The following is an 18,160-nucleotide window of genomic DNA, read 5'->3' on the forward strand; positions in this document are numbered from 1 at the left end:
TTTATAAATGCTACTTTAACAAATTCCTTTGATAAATAAATGTATATTTCTTCTTTTAGAAGTAGTAGGGGCCACCAAATAATATGACCTTTTTTTTCCCCCAACACTTCTTGGAGTCTGTTTGTATAGTTTCTTTAAGTAGTATATTCAGCACAAGTTGTCACTGACTACAATTAAAAGATATGATAACTGTGACAAGGAGTAGTGTTAGGGTCCTTGAAGGACTTTGATTTTCAGGTATCACAGTATATGTCATTTAAAGAAAAGTCATGCTTTCCAAAGGTAAATTATTATTATTATTTAAGACAGGGTCTTGCTCATGTTACCCAGGCTGGAGTGCAGTGTTGAGATCATAGCTCACTGCAGCCTCCACCTCCTGGGCTCAAGTGACTCTTTCACTTCAGCTTCCTGAGTAGCTGGGATTATAGGCGTGTGCCACCAAGCCTAGTTAATTTTCTTTTTTTTTTTGTGAAGACAGTCTCTCACTATGTTGTGAGCAGTCATCCTGCCTCAGTCTCCTGAAGTGCTGGGATTATGGGAGTGAGCCACTGCAGCTGGCAAAACCACCTTTTTAATCAGTGTTGAATCTCATGTTGGTTCACTTAAACATATAGCATTGTTAAATGTGTTCTTATACTTACAGGATACATTAAATTGCCTTAAATATTATATTCATAGTAGTCACTCTTAGAGGAGTATTTCTGAATGTTTTTTCATTATGTACCCTATAATCACATTACCTGTGTATATTTTTATATATTATTCTTATATACCTGGATTTTGTATTTATAAAAACTATAGCTAAAGCCAGAAGATAATAATAAATGCATGACTTAAATTTTTCCCCTTTATGTAGGCAGTGCTCGGAATGTGACCAGGCAGGGAGCAGTGACATGGAAGCAGATATGGCCATGGAAACCCTACCAGATGGAACCAAACGATCAAGGAGGCAGATTAAGGAACCAGTGAAATTTGTTCCACAGGATGTGCCACCAGAACCCAAGAAGATTCCGATAAGAAACACGGTAGTTTATTTTTTATTTATCATAAGCATCATACAATTCTGAGGCCAAAATTTAAGAGAGTGAGAAAGACACAGGGCAAACATATACTCAGAAGTCAAAGAAAAAGACATCTATTGGTTATTCTTAACAATTTTTTTTCTATATTATGAAATATACCACATGCTTACCTGAGTGTTTGTAGTTTATATTTTGTTGGAGGCATAATATAAGGAACACACCAGAGCATCCATCACCCACCTTGAAAGACAGACCATTCCCAAAGCTTTAGAAGTTTCCCGTAAACCCCTCGACAAGCTCATCTTTATCTGTCTAGCCCAGAGGCCACCTCTTTACTCAGCTTTACTTTTCTCATTCACTTCTTTTTCTTTATAGAAGAGATTTACACTCTAAATTTCTGTACTTATAAATAATACATGGTTTATTTTTGTAGGTTTTGAATTTCATATGAATGGAATCAAATGTTTTTCTCTGGTAATTTGATATTTTGACCAAAATTATGTTGATTTGATTCAGACATGCTGATCCATGTAGTTGTAGTTTATTTATTGTCACTAATGTATAGTTTTCTATGGAAAGAATAGATTATTACCTAGTTTTTCTTTTGCTTTGTTGATGGGCAGTTAGGTTTTTTTCATGTTTTTCTATTCTATACAGCTTTGTTTAAAATATTCCTATAAATATCTCCTGCAGCATGGTAACAAGGAGTTTGTGTATGTATTAAGGTGTAGATTTGCTAAGTTACAGACTATCTGCATCTTCAGTTTTGCTAGATAACTGCAATTGTTTTCCAAACCAGTTCACACTCATACCAGCAATGGATAATGTTTCTGTTGCTTCACAAAGTTTTGTCCAGTGTTTTAATGCTTTCCAGTGTGGTACAGGGAAAATAGTATCTTGACATTTTATGTTGCATTTCTCTCAGTACTAATGATTTTGTTCATCTATTTACATATTTTTGGTAAATTGTATTTCCTTTTCTGGGAAATGTGTATGCAAGCCTTTCACCAGTTTTTCTGTTGGGGTGTTTACCTTTTTCTCATTGCAAATTCTTTGAGGCCAGGTTTTAAAGAGTTTCTTCTGGGGAAATCATTTATGTTCATGTTTACCAGGTACCTTGAAGGGGCCTCTACCAACTTGAGAATATTTTAAATAAAAGTTTGGTGTGTATGTTTTCTATTACATCAGGAGTGTAAATTTCAAACCTTTAAGTGCTGGCTTACAGTTATGAATTCTTAGGGCATACTTTCCTTGCTTGAGCTGAGGCAGGCACTTTTCAAAAATCTTCCTTTCCACAAGGGAGATACAAAGATATTTTTAGGGTTAGTTGTCATCATTTGTTCTGTTACCTGTTTCATTTTAAAGAGTCTTTAATTTTTTCCTTAAAGTAACAGTTTTCTCAAAAAACATTTTCTTAATCTGTATTAACCTCCTATATTATAATCACTTAAAAGATCTTATTCAGGAGATTCAGCTTGATTTTTTAAATCAGTTTTGTGTTATGGGGTCATATAAAATTTATGAGGCAAATCTTTATCTCTTAGATAATTGAAACAGTTTATTTTGGGTGCTCTAAGTAGATCAACTTGAAATAGTTTTTATTTGTAGTTTCAACTGTTTATAACTCTTTTTTTAGGCTTCAAAAATATATTTTGTTTATAAGGGAACTAGAGAGACTTTTCCTTTGTTAAATAAGCCGGCTAGTTTCTATTTCTAAAATATTTTCTATAATTGTTTGAAAATGGTAACTAGTTATTCTTAAGATCTTAGAGAAGAGTTATTACTTCGTATGTCTGTCTACAAAGATTATCCTCTTATGAAACATTATTTTTCCAGTTTCTTTATTGTTTCAAGAAAGCCTTTTGACTAGTATTATCATCCTTAACTTTGGAGTTATCATATAGAGGGAAATTATGTATATTACAGTGAAATTTTTGTGCCCACAGTTCAGTATTACTTGAGATAAAAGAGAACTCTTTAACATTAAAGGATCCTTCTATTTTTTTCTCACCTTTACTGGTCTGCTTTTTTTATCCTAGAATTATAAGGAAGCTTTAAAATTTGCTAATATAATCCCATTCCTTTCATCTTGTTCTTTGTCTCTAGTTTTCTTGTTTAAAAGTTTTAGACTTCTTACAGATTTTGGTCAGTGAAACACCAGGGAAAGAGTCCATGACCAGTAATTTCAGGAAATGCAGTGTGATTATTTTCTTACTTGTAGAAATTCCAATGCATGTTGAAGCTCCAAAAAAAAAAAATCCTAATATTTAGAAACAGGATTACTTTTATCTATTCTTTTTCTTAACTTGTTTTTATCAAAAAAGCATTTTTTAAGACACTTTTTTTTTGGTAGCATAGAGTACTGTGTGGTGCTAAGTTTGGAAATGATGCTCCGGAGACCATGGATTACTTGCATTAGGACCATCTTGGGTATTTGTTGAAATGTAGACTTTGGACCCACCCTAGAGCTAGTATAGACTTTGGACCCATTCTGGAATTAATCAATTAGAATTTAGGGGTTTGACTAAGCAGATTTCTTAGGTGCTACGCTTATACTAAATAAAAGTTGAAAATAACTACTAATGGTGATTACCTTTCCTTTTTCCCTCTCATCTTTTCTGCCTGCCTTCCAACAATCCATTCAGAAAACCAGACAATTGGTGCGAGGTATCATACTAAACTGTTCAAGGAATGTAGGAATGAGAGATACAGAAGGGAGTGATCAGTCATTTTGGTCTTGATCTTACCATTTATGCTGAGTTCCTGTTGTTACCTTAAGTTTTTACTTATTTCTATTTGAGTTGTATTTATCTTTTTTAATCAATAGGTGGTATGGTGAAAAATGAGGTGTTCTAATTGTGTTTCTTAGAACAGTGTTAATTATGAGAGACCAGGCATACAACAGCTTACTAACTTGTATAAATACCTTTTGCAATATATAACTAATTTTTCTCTCCCATTGTTACATTTTTAAACTATTGCTCCCAATATCCTCCTACTTACACTTTTATTTCAGCACAGGTATTACAATTGGGAACATTCTGTCTTGTAATACATTATTATAGTATTTTTATTTTTGTCAGTTTTTCATTTTTCCTGCCATAAATTGATCAAAGTATAATTTGTTTTCATGTTAGTCTTATTATTCTGTCATGATTTTGAAGAAAATTTTACCTTCATGACATACGTAGGGCAATCATGACATACCCCAAGCTCATGGACCTGAACTCCTGGCAGACAGCAACTGCCCTGTTTACCACAGAAGAATGGGTCCCATTCTTCTTATGTTTCATCAGTGAAACTATAGAATTATTGTAAAGGCAGCCTGAGATAGTTCTGTTTAAGTACTTTGTTATTTAGACATTTTCTCTGCATTATTTTCTATGTGGAAACTTTTACTTACTTTTAGGCAAGGAAATTAATTTTGAAGAAAACATAAATTAGCTTACCCATATCCCTTTTGAAGTTACTTTAAAATTGGTGTTTATACTTGTGGACATATTTTCTAATACTCTAATGTAACTTGAAAGCTTTCAGATTTTCTTTTTGCTTTCTTTGCACTCTAAGTCATGTAGTGACTTTTCATCTTTTGTAGAAGTGCCAAAGGACTTGTTGGGACCTCTCTTTCCATTGTTTTTACACACACGCATGCATCATCTACTCTCTTTGAAGTTCTGAGATCTTTCTTCCTGACTTACAAATTCTGGTTGTGTTTTATATATTTTCTTTTTTGCAAAATAAATGCAATAAATAGGCAAAATACTTTTTAGCAGCTTTGACTGAAAACCATATTGTTTTTCAGGATGCATTATTTCTTTTAGATCATTATTTTAGAAGGAGATTTAAACACATCTAATCGTTTTTCCATCGCACTTAACAATGTGAGCCACTAGCCAGTTCTAAGTGGCAGTCTTTATTTGAGAGATAATCAAATATCCTAGAGCCTACTTTTATTACATTTATGTTTTAACTAATTTTACGCATATACAAAGTACCTATTTAATAATGTTTAAGCTTAAGTCTTGAGAATCTGAAAATATGAAATATGTTTCATATAAATATTTTTTAGATGTTAGTTTAGGAAAAATGTTGAAGCATTTGGATTCAGTTCTACTGAAGTGACTAAAGGTTACTGTACATTATGTTCATATTTATTTTACTTATTCTTATACTAACTGTTTGAATTACTACAGTTCTGGGAAAGAAGAGTTATTTGTGGGGGCTTTACATACCAGAGTTTTCTATTATCAGACTCAAGGTGACCTCTGAGGTACGAGTCAGATTATAAAACCTCTATCTGTCATAGATTCTTAGAAGAAACCCTGGCAAACAGTTTTTGTAGTGAACTAGAACTCACTTTGGCTACTTGGAAGAGATCTACTCTGTGGGTGTCCTTAGCTCAAGTAATCTTATTCAGAACCCTGAGACTCCTGTTTTGCTTTTTGCCTCTTGGAAATCCATCACTTTTATTTATTCCCAGGAGTATGAAATAAAGATAAGAATAGGTGGAGCTTTCAAGACTTTCCTTATTTTGTATATACCATTATCTCTGAGAAGGTTTTTATAGCAGCACTTACTTGTCATGTAGAATACATATTTTATTATATATCATTAGACCCATAGTTATTTCAGTTTATAGTAGTTAAGACAAATTGGTTATGATTTTCTTTTTATTCTCCCATATATTTTCATAACCCTGTTAACATAAGCTAAATTAGATAAAAAGAAACTCTACAGTCAATTGACCAAAGGGAAAGCACTCACTTTTGGTGACTGCCATTCCATTGGTTGTTTATTGGTAGCCAACAGAAACAGATGACACCTTGTTCATAATTTGTTTTTTGTATATAGCAATTTTCTTTGAATATTTCATGAACTTTAACTTGTTTTCAATGCAGTTTCATAATTGAAAGACAAATATTTTTAGGAATTATGTATATGTATAATTTTATATTTTTTAGAAATTATATTTTTATTATATATTGCTACATATAATATATGCTATACATATAATTTTATATTCTTAGGAATTAAATATATATTATATTTTTATATATTAGAATAAATTTTATATTGAAGCATTTTTGAATAGCTGCCAGAAAGCTACTGGCATTTATTCCCCAGCATAAATCTAATGCTATTTAGCTTAACAGAGGTTTTCAAAGTTTGACTTAATTGTCCTAATTAACATTGATTTTGGAATTTTGCCCATGAATAAGCATGTTCTATTTTTACATATAAGTTGCAGAGGGAAGCATTTCTTATGATTCACCATATGTGACTTACTTTAATTATTAATTTGTATAAATATTGATATGTCAACAAAAACACAAGTGTTAAATTTAGTGACCTGGTCACAAGTGAATATGTGAAGCCTAGTTTACTGATATCAAAGATGTTAAGGTACTGACTCTTTTAGTTTTAAATTTAGTTCATTTGCCAAATGAATCATGCATTTGACTTGATTGCAAATTAAAATAACCTCAGCTCTAAAGAATTAATTAAAATACATTACATGTTTTTTAGTCCAAATGATAGAAAAGTTAGAGAAATGTTTAATTATTTGTTTTAGATGAATAAACTATTTATTTACTTATTTTTATTTTTATTTTTTTGAGACAGAGTCTTGCTCTGTCGCCCAGGCTGGAGTGCAGTGGTGTGACCTTGGCTCACTGCAACCTCCGCCTCCCAGGATCGAGCGATTCTCATGCCTCAGCCTCCTGGGTAGCTGGGATTACAGGTGTGCACCACCACGTCCGGCTGAGTTTTGTATTTTAGTAGAGATGAGATTTCGCCATGTTGGCCAGGCTGGTTTCAAACTCGTTACCTCAGGTGATCTACCCGCCTCGGCCTCCCAAAGTACTAAGATCACAGGCCTGAGCCACTGTTCCCGGCCTGAATAAACTATTTAAAAGTTGCCTGCTAGATAAGATAATTTTACACCTTTTCAGTTTAAATACATTGTCTCTAATACCATGCCAATCTCTTCTATGGATTTTTTAATCACCTCTTTTCAAGTAAGTTGATCACGGACAGATTACGAGCAAGGTGATTTAAGCAGCTCAGGTTGTAATTGTTCCCTAGCTAAATCAAGTTCTTAAAAAAAAGAAAAACAAAAAATTGGAATGTGTCAAGATTTGGAATGAGTTTTAAACTTTCATTTACTTTTAATAGGTTAGCTAATTACTGTCAAAATTAATCAGTTTGGAATTGCACCCTTGCTTGATTAATCATGTGGAATTTCCAGGTAACGTATCTGTGTTACATTCTAAAGCACATTCTTGAAAAGTAAAATTCTTCCTTCTTCCACATATTATTTTCATCCTACAGTTTTATTGTTGCTAAAGTAGTTTCAGCCTCAAAATATATCAGAAAAGGACCACCCAGTTATATATACTTCTATTCATCTGAGATGGGACAAGCTCTTTGGTAACTGAAATTTGTCAGATAGGCCCAACTTATTTTCGTTTTTCTTGCTTTTTTGTACCATTTCTCCCTCTTTTAAATTCTACTTATGTTTTGGGATTCATTCAAGTACACTACTTTCAAGATAACTTGTCTGTTGTGATCTTAAGCAGTTATGAATTTTCGTAGTTATAGTTGCTGCCACTTCATTAAAACTAGAAAAAAAAAATCCCATAGCTTTCAACATTTTCTTGGTTGGAGGACTTGGTATTTTGTATAGTTATATTTGGACCAAATTCTCTTTTATTTTTTTCTTTGGAAATATTAGTAATGTGATAAATGCTAAATAAGAGTGCTGTAATTACTTTGGTAATGAATCAAGTTAGTATGTAGTATGGAGCTACCAAATTATGTAGACTATAGTGCCAGTTTTAATTTACTCTTTATTGGGTATAATTCTCTAACTTCATTTGAAATGTAAGAAATCTTCATTGGGCATCACAATGTTACAGTTTAGTTTAAGTATTTACGTGCAATAAGAGATTTGCATTCTGAATGATTTAGCTCATTTCTATTTGGGATTAAAGTATTAATCTTGGATTAGCCATGCAAGAAAAGTCACTGAAGTGACAGTTGAGATAACTGAGTTTCAGGTTTACCTCAGAAACTTACCAGCTGTGTGACATCAGCAAGTCATTTCTCTGGATTGCTTTTTCAGAGCTCTAAGATAATATTATTTTATATTTTTATAATAAGTTTATTTTTGTAGATGGAAATTGTTTATGTGTCTTGTGTTATTTTAAATTATTACATGAATATATCAGCGATTACCATTTGGTAATAAATGTACTTAAAGTGACTATTTTAGATAATTACAAATACACCTAATATATGAGAAGAAATTTATAAATATAGAGAGAAATGGAGCTATACCATTGTGTGATTGAATCACTAATTGGCATTATACCATATGATGCTAATTGCAATCTGGTATGAAGAGAGTTTCAATTGATGGAGTCATACCAGATATTTGAAGATTTAAGTTATTATCAAAATGGTAAATAAACATCCTTAAAAGAATTGAAAACATGAACTTGCAGCATTAAAATACATACTTGAAAAATTCAAAACTACATGATACATTTGCTAGTTCATTACCTAAAAGATGAGTTGGATGAAGAAAAATGTGAAAATGTATGGAAGTCTTTTGCACATTCTGTTTAGAAGTTTGTAGAGCTCAAATGAGTAATTTGAATATTTTCCACTTGATATTGGTTACTAATTTGGAGCATCTTATTGAAATGCCCTGTAGGCCAGGTGCAGTGGTTCACACCTGTAATCTGAGTACTTTGGGAGGCCAAGGCAGGTGGATCGCTTTAGGTCAGGAGTTCGAGACCAGCCTGGCCAACATGGCAACCCGTTCTCTAGTAAAAATGAAAAGATTAGCCAGGTGTGGTGGTGCACACCTGTAAACCCAGCTACTTGCAAGGCTGAGGTGTGAGAATCGCTTGAACCTGGGAGGCGGAAACTACAGTGAGCTGAGATTGCTGCCACTGCACTCCAGTCTGAGCAACAGAGGGAGAGTCTGTCTAAAAAAAGAAAAAAGCCCTGTAAATATACATTATGCAAATTAGATAATAGAGTACCAAATTAGGGAAAAATAATTTAAACTTTTTGTCAAATTTTTATTTTATTTTATTTTTTTGAGACAAAGTCTCGTCCTGTTGCTCAGGCTTGGAATGCAGTGACTTGATCATGTCTCACTGCAGCCTAGATCTCCTGGGCTCAAGTTATCTTCCCACCACAGCCTCCTGAGTAGCTGGGACTACCAGCACTCACAACCATGCCTAGCTGATTTTTTCATTTTTATTGTTAGTAGAGATAAGGTCTCTCTGTGTTGCCCAGGCTGGTCTTGAACTTTTAAGCTCAAGCAGTCTTCCCCGCTTAGCCTCTCAAAGTGTTGAGATTATGGCCGTGAGCCATGGTGCCTGGCCTGTCAGTCAGATCTTTTAGTTTGTATTATATAGTATCATCATTCATTAGTTCTGATTTAACCACTTATAAATTTATTTTATTAAAACAAGTTAATTGAGTCTTTATGTCATAAGCTTTGTGTTAAGTTTAATTGGGTGTAGAAAGATGAATATGATATGGTCCTTACCAAATTGGGAATGAATTTTGTAAGGGGACAGAAAATAAAGCATTAAAGGGCAAGAGTGGCACAGAAGGAAAAGAGATGAATGTAGAAATTACTAGCCATAAGTTTTCAGTTAGAACTTGAATAAGTGTTGTTAAGGACCTTTCTACACTGGTGTCCTTAAACTTATGTGTATTTGACCTACTTAGGATTCTTGTTAAAAGATAGCTTCTAATTCAGTGTGTCGGAGTCAGCCTGAGATTCTGCATTTCTAATAGACACTCAGGTGATGCCAGTGCTTATGGGTCATGATTGACACCTTGAGAAGCAAGTCTCAGTATTGTTCTTTGGAAGTCAGAATTGTAGATGCAGGATCTGCATTTAAAGGCCTTTCCTGGATATAGTCTTCAGTTTTCTGCCTAATTACTTCCATAATATAATTAAAACAGACTGATTGGCAATATAAATGTAAACAGATTCATAGTTTATAAATTTACTTTTTTTGAATGACTAATTTAGTTGACTCTTGGTTATCTAGGAACAGATTAAATGGTAAGTAGTTAGCCATGGTATTAAATAACAGTGTACTTGATATGAAGAATTGAAATTAATGTAAGAAAATATTAATATATTTATACTATAATGTAATTCTGTTTAGAATTATTTGGTACCTACTCTAGCTTGGGAATGTTCCTTGATCTCAGCTGTCAAAGTAATTTTTGGAAGCAGTGCCTGCATTCTCTTCCAGTCTCTAGGGAACAGTGGTCTGCATATGGGGCTGTGCTGTGATTGGTGGATATTTCTAACATATTGGCTGCAAATACTAATGTAGTTACAGTTCTTTTAAACGTTTGTATGCGTTCTTTCAAATGGTAAATGTATTCTGAAATATAGGATGTGAATTTTAGCTAAATTAGTTTAAAATGTCATTTTATGTGGCATTTTAATTAGTTTTATGTTAACTAGGATTTTGGATATGTGAGAACTTTTCCTTCTACTTTTTTTTGGCTGCTTAAGAATTATTTCTTTACATAAACATGTATGCACATGCATATATGTAGGCAAACAATGTGTGTAGTATGATCCCAGGTTTAGCATTTCAGCTATATAAGTGATGTGATAAGTTATGAAAATTTAAATGCTCTGAGTAAATCATAATTATGGACAATTATGAAGTGTGGAGAAAATCCTTTAAAATAATTTTGGAGAATTCATTTTTTTTCTATCAGATACATGTTTATTTAAAAGTAAAGTACTATAAAGTATATTTAATTTGTTACTTTTTATTTCCTATGGCATAAATGGTAACAAAGTGCAGTAGTCCAATATAGTATTAATTAGAAATAACTAATTTTGCAAGTGCCTAACCTAAGCAATAACATTTAACAGAGGAAATTTATATTTATTATTAATTAAACATTAGATATACTGTGGATTTTTGTTTTTTGTTTTTTTTTTTGTTTTTTTCCAGAGAACCAGAGGACGAAAACGAAGCTTCGTTCCTGAGGAAGAAAAACATGAGGTTGGAATAAGTTAAGCACTTTTACACAGTCTTAACTTTGAGAAATTTTCTTGCTTAAAATTGTTTCCCTCATATCCTTATTTTGTTTGTTATGTTTTATTTTATTATCCCTTGTATGGCAGGAAAGAGTTCCTAGAGAGAGAAGACAAAGACAGTCTGTGTTGCAAAAGAAGCCCAAGGCTGAAGATTTAAGAACTGAATGTGCAACTTGCAAGGGAACTGGAGACAATGAAAATCTTGTCAGGTAAGTTGGATGCTAAAACCTTGTCTTTAGGGGATGAAAGTTCTATATTTATTTTCTCATCACAGAAAAAATGAAAAAACAATTGCAGGATAAGACCTTTCTTAAAATATTATATAGTGGAAACAGTACTTTAGAAACAGATTTCATCCACTTCTTAACCTCTCACACATGGTTATACTCTGGATTTAAATGTAAATAAGAGTGATAATCTGCCTGTTTAACACAGGGAATTATTTTTCTCTTGACAAGAGAAATTGACAGTGCTCTCTATTTAGAGGCCATGAAAGTAATTTGATCTAAACACTGTGTACTAAGATTATTATGTTTTATGTCAGAAAACAATAAAGTTACTAAGCTCTGTTAGCATATTCTAAATGTTTGAAATTTAGAAGCAATGGTGAGAAGACAGACTTTTTATTGACAAGAACTTAATTAGCACTTTCTTATTGCTTATCAAAACAAATGTGTTAAATGCTTCTCCCTTACGAAATAAAGAAAGGTGAAAAGATGGCCTAGGTTGATTTTATTTTTTGTTTTGTCTTTGTTTCTTTGTTTCGTTTTGGTACTTTATTTTTTTTTAATCAGACATAATGCTAATCAGAAATCTTAGCTGATGCTGCACATTGGCTTTTCCCAACGGTCCAGAGGCTGCTAATTTTAGCGGAAATGAAGACATTGATCAAAGCTCTGGTGAGATGGGGGAGTGAGTGTGTGAACAAAAAGAGAGCTAATTTAAAAGAGGCATCAGACTTTCAAAGGACAGTGTCACAAAAGTTCTTACAGTTCTTACAGGGACTTTGTAAGGGAATCCATTCTTATTTCTTTAAAAAATTGTCTTCTGGTAAAGCCCTGTTAAATTAACTGAGGACACAGAAATTAAACATTTCAAAAAGAATAAACATATTGATAAAACAAATATATTAGTGTTGTTGTATGTTTTTAAATACTTACTTCCAAATGATTTAATCTATTTTGGTCATTAAAATATGTCTTAATTTCTCAAAGAAAGGCATGAAGTCTTAAATTTTATGAGTTTTTTATGCTATCAATGAGAAAGATAAAGTAAAAATTACAGTAGAAAAAGACAAAGTCCTTCAACAAAGTTAAGAAAGTTTATAATAATTGGCTAATTTTTTTGAGGTAGTTCATGTAGAGTGTGTTGGGAGCTATCCTGAAGGTTAAGTTTATTAAAATTTAGGGTAAAGTAGTAAGTAGTTCCAAGTTCAGGAGATACACCTGAATAATTCTGACCACAGTATAAATTTTGCAATATGTCGAAAATGAAATCCCAAGCATAAGCGTAACATAATGGAGTAAATGAAACAATAAAAATAAAGAAAAAAAATAACAATCTTATATAATGAACAAAAATTTAATTCAGGAAAATTCCCTTGGGGTTGAGGGTGGAGTTGAGGACTATGATTTTGAAACAGTAGTTAAAAACTTATAGAGCTGGTGATCCTTTTATTAATTATTTGAACCTGTATGAGTATCTACTGTGTCTTACTAATTTTTTTTTTTTAATATGAGATTGATTGAGGCCTTTTTGCTGTAGGACTTAGAGGTTTTTATTAGGTTTTTTGTTTTGCTTTTGTCATATATTGGAAATTAGGAACCTGAGAAATACAATTTTTATTTTAAAAATCAGTTTATGATAGATTTCCAACCCATCATATTTTAGTCGTTTAATAAAAAAAGTGCCATCTTCTAATTTTGATAAGATTTTTGAATAGTATTACTCTATGTTATTTATTTCTTTAGTTTCTGTTATGAAATTTTTATTTCTAATTGCATTATTACAATATGCCAATGTCTGGAATTTTGTGAAAGTCTTCTGGAAGGTAAAGATATTTTTATTACTCTAAAATAATGGATATGCAAAGTCCCCTTCCTTCGTTTTGCCTTATTAAGAAGATAATATCGTAAATTGTCTGCAAAGTTTTAAAGAGGTAATGTAGAGGAAATTAAATGTTTTATTGGTACTATATTTTAATATTTCTTAGGACAAGATAAGCTGGATATAAAGCAATGCCATAAAATATTTTTGGTTATAATGTGATCTTTAAAAAAAATACATTGTTTATGCACTATTCTTCTTGGGTTAAAGAATTTTTATATAAAATTTCATATGTTTAATAAAAGTAATCTCATAAGCTAATATCTGCCATTTTCCCTGGCATCTCATATTTTGGAATTGGCACTGTTATTGTTTGAAAATCACCCCCCAAAAGTCTACACTTTTTTATTACATTGCATCTTAAATACTATCTTTACATGCTATTTTTTTAACTTTCAAATAAGATATTTTAAATAAGGATTTATTTTCTCTACAGATATATTTCAGCGCTTACTCAGACATACGTGTATGTCTGTTAGGTTCTCTTTTAAAATTAAACTTCATGGGTCACAATTAGTCTTTTATTTAATATACTGTGTTTACTTTCTCAAGTTCTTTTAAACTGATGTTTATATCACACTAGAATCTGCTCTTCAGCAGTTTTGATTTTTTAAACCACACTTCTCTATGTAATTCAGGCTATATAGAAAATTCCTTCTTAATTGTCCTTTTTTAGTTATTTGTATGTGTTTACTTGTGAATTTATATGTATAATTTTTTATATCATTGAACAATTGCATGCAATTTGTCAGTACATTGTAATTAGTAAGTTTCAACTGTTATTTTCTGCTTTGCCTGTTTTTCTTGGGACTTGGGCAAGTAATTTAGCATTTCTGTGTCTTGGTTTTCCCCCCGTTGTACATGATCACAATCATACTTGCTTCATTAGGTACCTTATGGATAATTGCTGAGTGATAGTAAGGTTCTTTCCATATAAAATGTTAGAACAGTAGTATTATTTAGTAACACAAAGAATACATGTATGTGTGCATTGAAATAAAGGTCACAATTGGTAAATATGTTTCCAGTTATAATAAATACTTGTTATGTCAGAAAATGTACATGTCCTGTTGTATATAATTTTGTCTAGAATCTAGGAGACAAAAGGAAATTTGTCATTACATGTTTTCTAAAATGATTAGATTGAAGGTTTACAGCATCTCAGGCAATTTTATTTTTTTAAGTGCTGGTTTTTTGCCATCTACTTTTAAAATTTAATTAGAAATTATCTGAGAAGTTCTCAACTAAATATATATTTCTTTATGCTATTTAATGCAATCTAAATGCTAAAGGTCAAGTTGAAACTATTTCATGGAATTGGGAAGTCTTAAAGGCTTTGTCTGTGATAGGTCATTCTTTGTTGGAAGTAGTTATGGAACTACTTAGTGATACCTTATTTATTTTTGTTTCGACAGTTCATGGCACATTTAATGATCAGAAAATGCTTGGTAAATGAACTCTACATAAGTAATGACTGAGTATTCTTTTGCTGAATTAATAAAAACTGTCACTATTATAATTTAATTCTAGAGCAAATTGAGTCACAAAATATAATGTTTGATGAAGGTATTTAAAGGGCTTGATAAAGGACAATTGATTTTTTGTCACTAAAATGTAGTGGATAGTTTTTCCTCTGCTGTATTTTAAGTAAGGAAATAGATTTGAGAATAAATGATTAATCTATGAAAAGTAGAGATGAAGTGATTCCTCTCCTTGAGCCTATATGAAAAGGAAGTGGGCCTGTCTTTCAGTCTTTATCGAACTATCAAATTAGGAATAACACCAAACTTCTAAACCTCAAATTTTATCTTAACTTTATAGACTCAATGTGGCACATTTATTACTTAATCAGAGATAGGAGAGAGAGAAGAAAGGTTTCCTAAAGCTAAGAACCCTGGAATCCATGAGCCCTCTTAAATAGCATCTTTAATTTTATTTTGTATTGTGGCCATTTTTCAGAAGCATTGAGGGTAGGAAATGATCTATTAAGCTATTTCACTTTTATAGCTAATTCTACACTATCAAATGCTTGCCAGATTCTCCCCTTTATTTGAGTATATGGCAAATTACATAGGTATTGAACCATTTTGATTACAAGGGTAGGGTGTCAATTTGGTCTGTAAACATTGTTGTTCGCACTTTTATTTATTTTACATTTAAAAATCTGGCTTGTCAGTGCATCCTCCCCAACTAAATTTGTTTGTGTCATAAATTATTAGGAAAACCAGCAAGAATTCATATGTATTACATTTTAATTTCAAATATTAGTCTCTCGTTATTCTGATTATAATTTTTTTGTTGTTTGTTTTCGTTGTCACTCAGGCTAGAGTGCAGTGGCACTTTCTTGACGCAGTACAGCCTCTGCCTCCCGGGCTCAAGCAATCCTCTCACCTCAGCCTCCCGAGTAGCTGAGACTTGATTTTTTATTTTTAATTAACTTTTCTGTTCTAACTAGTATGGAGGCAATGTTTTGTTTTATGGTTATTGTTATTTCCTATCTAATAATTCTTTGCTTAGGTCCAGGTGACAAAAACTTTCTTCTTTGTTTTCTTCTAGAAGCTTTGTAGTTTTGGCTTTTATATTTTATATGAGCTATCTGAAATTAATTTTTGTATATGGTTTCAGGTAGAGTTAAGGAAGGTTTGTTTATTATCTGCCCCATGTGGATTCCCAGTATCATTTGTTGAAAATACTTGCCTTTCCACATTAAATTACTTTGGTGCCACTTTTAAATGCCAGTTGGCTTTTTCAATGTGGGCTTATTTCTAGACTTTCTATTATATTCCATTGAGTTATGTATTTATTCCTGTGCCAAGACCAACTCTTGATTACTCAGGCTGTGGAGTAAGCTGTTTCGTTTTTCTGGATCCTTTGCATTTTCATGTAAATATTAGAAACAGCTTGTCCATTTTCATTTTAAAAAGGAAAGCCTGGACATAACACCAAAAGCATAGGTAATAACAGCAACAAAAAATTAGCTAAGTTGGACTAAATTCAAAGTTAAAAACTTTTGTGTGTGAAAGGACACCATCACCAGATGGTAAAAAGGTTAACCCATAGGATAGGGGGGAATATTTGCAAGTCATGTATCTGTTAAGGGATTGAGAATATATAAAGAACTTGGACAACTCAGCAATAAGAAACAACCCCATTAAAAATGGGCATAGGACTTGAAAATATTTCTCCAAAGAAGATATACAGTAGCCAACAAGCATATGAAAAGATGCTCAACATCACGAATCATTCAGGAAGAGTAAATCGAAACCACAGTGAGATACCACCTCACACCCATTGGGCTAGTTATCATTAAAATAAATAAATAAACAGAAAATAACAGGTGTTGGCAAGGATGTGGAGAAACTGGAGTTCTTGTACAATTGCCCTTGGGAATATAAAATTGTGCAGCTACTAGGGAAAACAGTATTTTAATTCCTCAAAAAATTAAAGACAGAATTACCATTTGATCTGTTAATACTGCTTCTAGCTGTACACCCAAAGCAGAAACTCAAACAGATAATTGAACACCTGTTTTCATAGCAACATTATTCACAATAGCCAAAAGGTGGAAGCAACCCAAGTTCCACTGATGGATTAAAGGATAAACAAAATGTAGTGTATATATGTATATTCTCTTAGTCCATTTTATGTTGCTAAGAAGAAATACCTGAGGGTGGATAATTGATAAAGAAGGAAATGTTTATTTGGCTCACAATTCTCATTGTTGGGAAGCTCAAGATTGGGCATCTGCATCTGGTGAGGACCTCAAGGTGCTTTCACTCATGGTGAAAGGTAAAGGAGAACTGGTATGATCAGGGATCACATGATAAGAGAGGAATCAAGAGAGGGGGAGATGCCAGGCTCTTTTTACTATCCAACTATCAAAGGAACTAATAGAGTTAGAACACACCCCTGAGGAGGTCAATAATCTCTTCATGAAGGATTCATCTTCATGACGTAAACACCTCCCATTAGGACCCCCCTAAAGTGGGATCACATTTCAACATTAGGTTTGTAGGTGACAGGTATCCAAACCATAGCATACATACAGTAGAATATTATCCAGCCTTAAAAAGGAATGAAATTCTGGGCCGGGTGCGGTGGCTCACGCCTGTAATCCCAGCACTTCGGAAGGCCAAGGCAGGTGAATCACGAGGTCAGGAGATCGAGACCATCCTGGCTAACACAGTGAAACCCCGTCTCTACTAAAAAATACAAAAAATTAGTCTGGCATGGTGGTGGGCACCAGTAGTCCCAGCTACTTGGGAGGCTGAGGCAGGAGAATGGCATGAACCCGGAGGCAGGGCTTGCAGTGAGCCAAGATCGCACCACTGCACTCCAGCCTGGGTGACAGAGCGAGACTCCGTCTCAAAAAAAAAAAAAAAAAAAAAAAATCTGATACTGCAACATAGATGAACCTTGAGAACGTTATGCTAAGTAAAATAAACCAGTTACAGAAGGGTACAAATAATGTATGATTCCACTTACATGAGATTCCTAGAGTAGTCAGATTTATAGAGACAAAAGTAAAAATGGTGGTTTCCAGGGGGAAGGAGGAATGGGCAGTTAGTGTTTAAGGGGTACAGAGTTTCAGCTGGGAAAGATGAAAAAGTTCTGGAGATGGATGGTGGGGATGGTTGCACAACAGTGTGAATGTGAATGCCACAGAGCTGTACACTTAAAAATGGTTAAGATGGTCAATGCTATGTATATTTTACCACAATTGATTTTTAAAAATAACCTGAAGAACAAAAGTCTACAGGGATTATAATAGGCTTTGTGTTGAATACATGGGATTTAGTGGCAGGGAAAGGGGCTGGGGCAGGGGGACATTAACATTTTAACCATGTTGCATCTTTCAATTTATGATCATGGTATATCTCTCCATTTATTCAGATACTCAGATAGTCTTTATTTTTTCTCACTGATGTAGTTT

At 32.8% G+C, this 18,160-nt stretch overlaps 1 protein-coding gene across 4 annotated transcripts in view; it reads left to right on the forward strand.

Annotated features, from left to right (window-relative positions):
• PHF14 (PHD finger protein 14) overlaps window positions 1-18,160 on the forward strand; it is a 195,747-nt gene that overhangs the window by 76,884 nt on the left and 100,703 nt on the right. For all 4 annotated transcript variants that reach the window (NR_033436.2, NR_033435.2, NM_001007157.2 and 1 more), the window contains 3 exons: window positions 857-1,025; window positions 11,036-11,086; window positions 11,209-11,330. Coding sequence is in view for 2 of the 4 variants with exons in the window: in NM_001007157.2 (NP_001007158.1) it covers window positions 857-1,025; window positions 11,036-11,086; window positions 11,209-11,330 (342 nt within the window). In the remaining 2 variants the exon portion in view is untranslated. The remainder of the gene's footprint in view (window positions 1-856; window positions 1,026-11,035; window positions 11,087-11,208; window positions 11,331-18,160) is intronic.

The sequence above is a fragment of the Homo sapiens genome, chromosome 7 (genome assembly GCF_000001405.40).
Source record: "Homo sapiens chromosome 7, GRCh38.p14 Primary Assembly".
Classification (NCBI taxonomy): domain Eukaryota; kingdom Metazoa; phylum Chordata; class Mammalia; order Primates; family Hominidae; genus Homo; species Homo sapiens.